This window comes from Homo sapiens, chromosome 3 (assembly GCF_000001405.40).
Source record: "Homo sapiens chromosome 3, GRCh38.p14 Primary Assembly".
Classification (NCBI taxonomy): domain Eukaryota; kingdom Metazoa; phylum Chordata; class Mammalia; order Primates; family Hominidae; genus Homo; species Homo sapiens.
Genome location: NC_000003.12, coordinates 67,293,036 through 67,299,030, shown reverse-complemented (window position 1 = coordinate 67,299,030; position 5,995 = coordinate 67,293,036). Strand labels below are relative to the sequence as shown.

General features: G+C 39.7%; 1 annotated feature.

The window, feature by feature from the left end:
- Positions 2,170–3,369: an enhancer, noted in NCBI's record as "CDK7 strongly-dependent group 2 enhancer chr3:67346086-67347285 (GRCh37/hg19 assembly coordinates)". NCBI's record gives its function as "activates an origin of replication core promoter dependent on BRD2, BRD4, P300/CBP, MED14 and CDK7 cofactors, with strong dependence on CDK7, by STARR-seq in HCT116 cells {active_cell/tissue: HCT116}" and the evidence as "EXISTENCE:reporter gene assay evidence [ECO:0000049][PMID:35650434]".

Below are 5,995 nucleotides of genomic sequence, written 5' to 3'. Positions count from 1 at the left end.
CCTAAGCTGCCCATTGACAAAGTCAATTATTTCCTACAACCCCTCCACCCTTCTATTGTATGAAAGAATAACTAGGCTGACATTTGCCTCTGTGTTTTAATTTTTGGCTCCTTTTACCTGAATTTCTTTTTTCCAAGGTCTCCCAACCACTACAGCCAAAACCCAGGACAAAAAAAAATTGTGTCAGGCAGAGGGCTAGATAACACTGTGATCACCACCAACTGGCCTTTTAGAGATTCAGGTACCGTCATGTGTTCCAAGAGATTTCAACTCATGGCTGCATGGCAATGAGAAGACTGTATCTATATTTCAGTACTTGCGACATCAGCAAGTCACATTTTCTTGGGTTTATTTTTTCTGCCTTGTATTGATTCTACCCTGTTCCTAATATACCAATATCTGAAGTGCTAAGAGATATCAGCCTTCCCTACTCTTCTTATGTATGTTTTAAAATTTTAAATGATATGTCATGTTAGTATGTATTTTGGGGATGTGTGTTTTATTTTGATACACATATCTAATATTTAATGATCAAATCAGGGTCATTAGGATATCCATCACCTTGAACATTTATCTTTTCTTTGTGTTGGAAACATTGCAGTTCTTCTCTTCTAGCTATTTTGAGATACACAAAAAATTACTCATGAGGTTTGGGCTGGTGTCACATGGCCCAAGCTTGACTAACCACAGCATTGCACTGGAACCTACTAGAGGCTATAAGATTTACATTCCAGAACTTTGGTCAGACTAATTAGAATTATTAGAAAGGGAGGGTCTTCTTGCATCCATTGGTCTTGAATCTGGGCAGACAGCCTGGAGCAGCTGGCTCCTGCGGCAGACCATGACAGTGTTGGCCTGCCCGTATTTCCTAAGCACTCCCCATTTCCATGCCAGGAGACCCAAAGACTTCCAATGGTGAGCTACTGTGTCTCTTTGCCGAAGGGCTTTCTCTGGTCAAGGGAGCCCATTCAGCTTGCACATTCATGGAACAGGCTGCAAGTGCCAGAGAATTAATATTCCCAGAGCAGCTTTCTATTAGCAGCTGACTGGAGTTGGTGGATCAAAACCTTAGCTCCCTCTCTGTTTGGTTGATACATCTCTGAAGAGTAGATTTGAAATTGCCGTGTCAACATATTATTTGTTATTTAACTTTGGATGGATACAGGTGTGTGTCTGTGTGTGTGTGTGTGTGTGTGTGTGTGTACATATGTATACATATATACATATATTTGGGGTTTTTTTTGAGATGAGGTCTTGCTCTGTCACTCAGGCTGGAGTGCAGCAGTGCAATCATAGTTCACTGCAGCTTCAACCTCCCAGGCTTAAGCATTCCTCCCACCTCAGATGGGACCAGTAGCTGGGACCACAGGTACAGGCCACCATGCCCAGCTAATGTTTTTATTTGTAGATATGAGGTCTTACTGTGTTGCCCAGACTGGTCTCGAAATCCTGGGCTCAAACAGTCCTCCCGCCTCAGCCTCCCAAAGTGCTCAGATTACAGGCATGAGCCACTGCAACTGGCCTTTTATTTGTTTTTGTATGAGTATATATTTATTTGCGTATGAGTATATACATAATATTCATACAAATGCATATACAACACAAATTATTTTATATTGCTGTTAATATCTCTGACTTGGAGAGAGGCATATTTTTTCAGTATCTTTCCTGGCTTGGTTATAGAATGCTATTCCAATTAGCTCAATCAAATCACCCAACATGTATAATATTTCTGAGCTAATAGTCTGCCAGTATTTACCAGTACAGCAAAATCATTTCTGTATCAGTCAGCATTCATTTCATAGGTGCCTATCTGATTGGTCAATGTCCAGGTCATAATCCTTAAAGGCAGAGTTGACATCACAGCTCCATACTCATAACCACTACCAAAACCATGTCCTTAACTCTCCATGGTTCTAGAATCTAGTCCCACATGCTCAAATTCCTGCCTCCTCAAGCAAGTCCAAAGATAATCAAAACTGAGAGAAAGACGAATATTTTCTAGATAGGAATGGGAAAAATGAACAGTAGAACTCTGAACTCTTTATACCTGCAACAGACTAAAGGCAGGATAAATTTTTAGAGATATTAGCATGATTGAGTTATCTTATCTTCTTCCTCATCTCACAAAGAGAGCTGAATCCTTGCTGTCTCTTTGCCTTAGGATTTTTGCAGGCCTTAAAGCAAAATCCTCTTGAGATCTGAGCTTCTCTTACCTGTGTAAGTACTTGAGTCTATTAAATTTATTTATGTATAGGAGGGTTAGGAAACAAGAAGATAAGAGCCCAGAAGGCAATGGGTGCATAGTAGTGCATTTATTGACAAAGTAGCATAATAGAAGAATGCTTAGGCTCAAAGGTCCACAGTGGAATAGGACTGGTCAATGTGAGCAGTCTCTGGCCCTGTTTTCTATCAGATAAGCCTCCCGGATTCCATTTCACACACTAGTTTTTCTCAGCTGAAGAAACGAAGGTTTAGACACATTAATCTGATTTCAGAAAATATATATTTGTATTTAAAATGTATGTTTTTCAGATAAGGAAATATCTTTAGTTAGGTTACAAAATAGAGAAAATAAAGAAATGGATATTTTGTAAGCACTTGAATTTTGAGATCAAAGACCATACCTTCAATAGCCCTGTAGACTCAGTTCATCAAAGACAGTAGCTGTTCTCCTACAGTGGGAAACATCATCCCTGGAGCAAGGCCTTGTCATCCCATGAGGAATCCTAATGTCACCGTGTGTGGGAAGGGTTCCTTTGTATTTCTCACATTCCGGGCCTGGGGAAACTGTCTCATTGCTCAGCGGGAGGCTAAGGTCAAGGTCTGCTGGCTCAAGGTGATGTAATACCTTCCATGGCTTTTGACATGAACAAAACCAGGCACAGCTTTCAACTCCCTGAGACTGAGTGCTTTTTGTTGTGTTTGCAGATGCCTCAACCAGGATTCTAATCTATTTGAGAATTTTTGCCCTGTATGAATAATGCCCCAAAGGCTTTAAAAGAGAAAAATATATACAGTCCAATGTAAAGACTTATGGGTTTCAGTGGAAAACAATCCAGTAGGGAGATTTAAAAAATTAGTTTGTATTCTAGGCAACACAACATGGAGTATTTGAGGCACTTAAGACTTTTAAATATGAAGGAGTTTGTTGAATGGGAAAGCTATTCATTTGAAATAGCATGTTGGAGTTTAGAACAGGTAGGGAAACTTACCTTCTTTTTTGAAATAAAGAAAATGTTGCAAAATTGAGTTTTGCTTTGCCCACACAGGAATAGTAAGAAACCAAAGCTCTAGGCTTCATTTCTGCTAAAGAGCTCTGAGTATGTAATGTTGCAGTCACTTCTACACATTCAAGACAAGCCACTATGTGTGTTTGTAAACAACTAAAAGACCCAGCTAATCTTGAGCAACACACAAATGAGCCATCTTTGCGAATGCCAGTTGCTTGCTAATAACTTTCTAAAATTGTTCTCCGGCACTAATTGAAACTATAAATCCTAATCACATTCAAATCCTAACCACTGTATACCATTAGCTCACTTCGGTTCTTAATCTTCTTCTTCTGGGGCACTTTCTTGCTGTATCCTTCTTCCCCTAGGAGCAGCCACATTTATTATTGCAGTTCAAATATCTTGATATTCCTGTTGGAGGGCTATATAACATCTCTCTAAACATGTCAACACCAGGGCCGCTTAACAAGAATATCCACCTCAATCCTATTGGAGCAAGGTAAAAAAAAAAAAGTCAGTGAAATATATTTTCAGTTATTTCATTCTATATGCCTATAGATAACGTGGGTCAAAAGACTATTTTAATTCTGTTTTGTTAAGACAGGCTTCTTCTCTTACATAGTGGAGCAGGTAGGAGGTTCTGGTTGCTTCTAGACAATTTGCCAGACAAGAAAAATGGCTTCACAGATCATCTGACAGCTTTATTCTTGTGGCTCTGGCAGAAAAATAGGCAAAAATGATTGCAGAGGCGGCTGAGTGGAATACAACACAAAAGTTCAGAAAAATATTAACTGGTTGTAAAATGAGTGGGAGGATGTAGTAAAGGAACTGGCATTTCAGTTATATAAAATCACTTATTACAACATTTTTATAGCCAAATTATGCTCCCTTTCTGTGCTGTATCTTTGGGTCTGTTGCCTGGAATAGATGGTAAAGAATCCTTCCATGAGACACAAAATGTTTATATGGAAGAAGAAGCTATGAATCGTTTTATGGCTGAATCATGCTCCTGATCCCAGTGAAGACCCCTTGGTAGTTTTGGTCTGATTTATATCAGGCCCTGTGCTTTTATAGATCTGTTCTGGTCCCATTTACCTGCCTGAAAAGCCACTCCTGGGCCTTCTAATGGATACTTGTAATTAATGTGGAATGCTCTGATACTTGTATTGAGACAAGTCCATTTGGGAGCTTCAAATAGCTAGGACAACAGTGAAACCTCTAAGTTTCCTGGTCTTTGAAGCAGAAAAGACTGACTCAATGTTTTCTTAGATGACAGGGCACTTAGTAGAGTTATCCTCAGTTCATCCCTTTTAGCGAAACTCACTCATTAAACACAAAACAGATATCATCCTCTCAACCTTCTTGTAAGAAGTAGTAAGAACTTGGGCATTACCTTAAGAAGCTCTTTGGTAGAAAAACTGGAGAACACCGAGCATGCATCCCATGCGGTAACATGTCCTACAGTTTCAAGAGATAGTAAGATATGCTTGGTCATAGAAAGAAATTTGTAATTAAGTAGTTGGGAAAACACTGAGTGAAACAGAGTTAAATAGGTTTTTCTACTGCAGGACATCCAAGCTGTTCTAATATCTTAACATGCATTGCAGATCTTCAAGGAATATACGCATTTTTGATACGTGTTTTATAAGAGGACTCTTTGGCTTATGGAAACTTGCATGTGATCAGTGTTCCTTAGAATTTTCTAAGAAACAACGCCCTTTTCATTCAGGACTATATTAAATGAGGGAGACAAGATGTTTCCCTAAATGTCAGGCAAGTTTAAATACTTTCCTTCTCAAATATTCTAGAACTCCTCATACTATATAATAATGATCTAATGTCCCCTTTTTTTGCATTTCAAATCCTAGATAATCTGGCCCCAGCCTTTTTTTCCCTTTGTAACCCATTACTTAGTTTACCTGGCTTCTCACACTGTGGCCAAACTTATTTCTTGTTGCTCTATGAATACTGTTGTTATCTCTTACCTCTATATCCTTCAGTACACCACCTTTCTCTTTGCTTCTGCCTATTTAATACTTAACCACTTTTCTAGAATCATGCAGAATCCTACCTTCATGAAGCCTCCCCCAGTTCTGCTATTTGGAGTTAGTTTCTCCCACCACATTTCATGTGGACCTCTGCTCTAGCTTATATAAACTTTCTGGTTTTCTAGTGGTTTGCTGACCTTTATGTGTTCTACTCAAATGTGAGTTTCTTGAGGGCAGGGGCTGTGTCACTCATCTTTGGGGACAGAGCCTATTACATCATCAGAACGGACAGAATCTAGGCCAAGCTAAATCAAGTTACAGCAGCTCCTAGATCCCATTTCCACCTGGCCTTCTCTTCTAGCTTTCCTGCAAGGTTTTTGAAATGACCAGGCCATGTGATGCTGGCAGGTTCTACCCTAGAGCTGGTGTAAGGCCACTCTAGCAATTCTGAGTGTATACTACTATGTTCTCATGTCTGTTTCATAGATGCATATTTGACAGGGTGCTCCTGGCTAACAGATTAGGTTCCCCAGACATGCCCAGTTTACCTGCAGAATTTCTCTAGATTTATACCATAAGACTGTACCTATGAGGTTGCAGGGAGGCAGTTGAGCTTACAAAAGGACTATTGTACCCCCTCTTTCTCCAACCACATTCTTGCTGAGGGTGCTGTCTTCATGGTCTTGCCTCACTCAGACTTTAAATCTCCCTCCCAGAGCCCTCATGTTGCTTAGGATATTTGGCTCAGACTTTTGTTTGCTGTGGATTCATCAT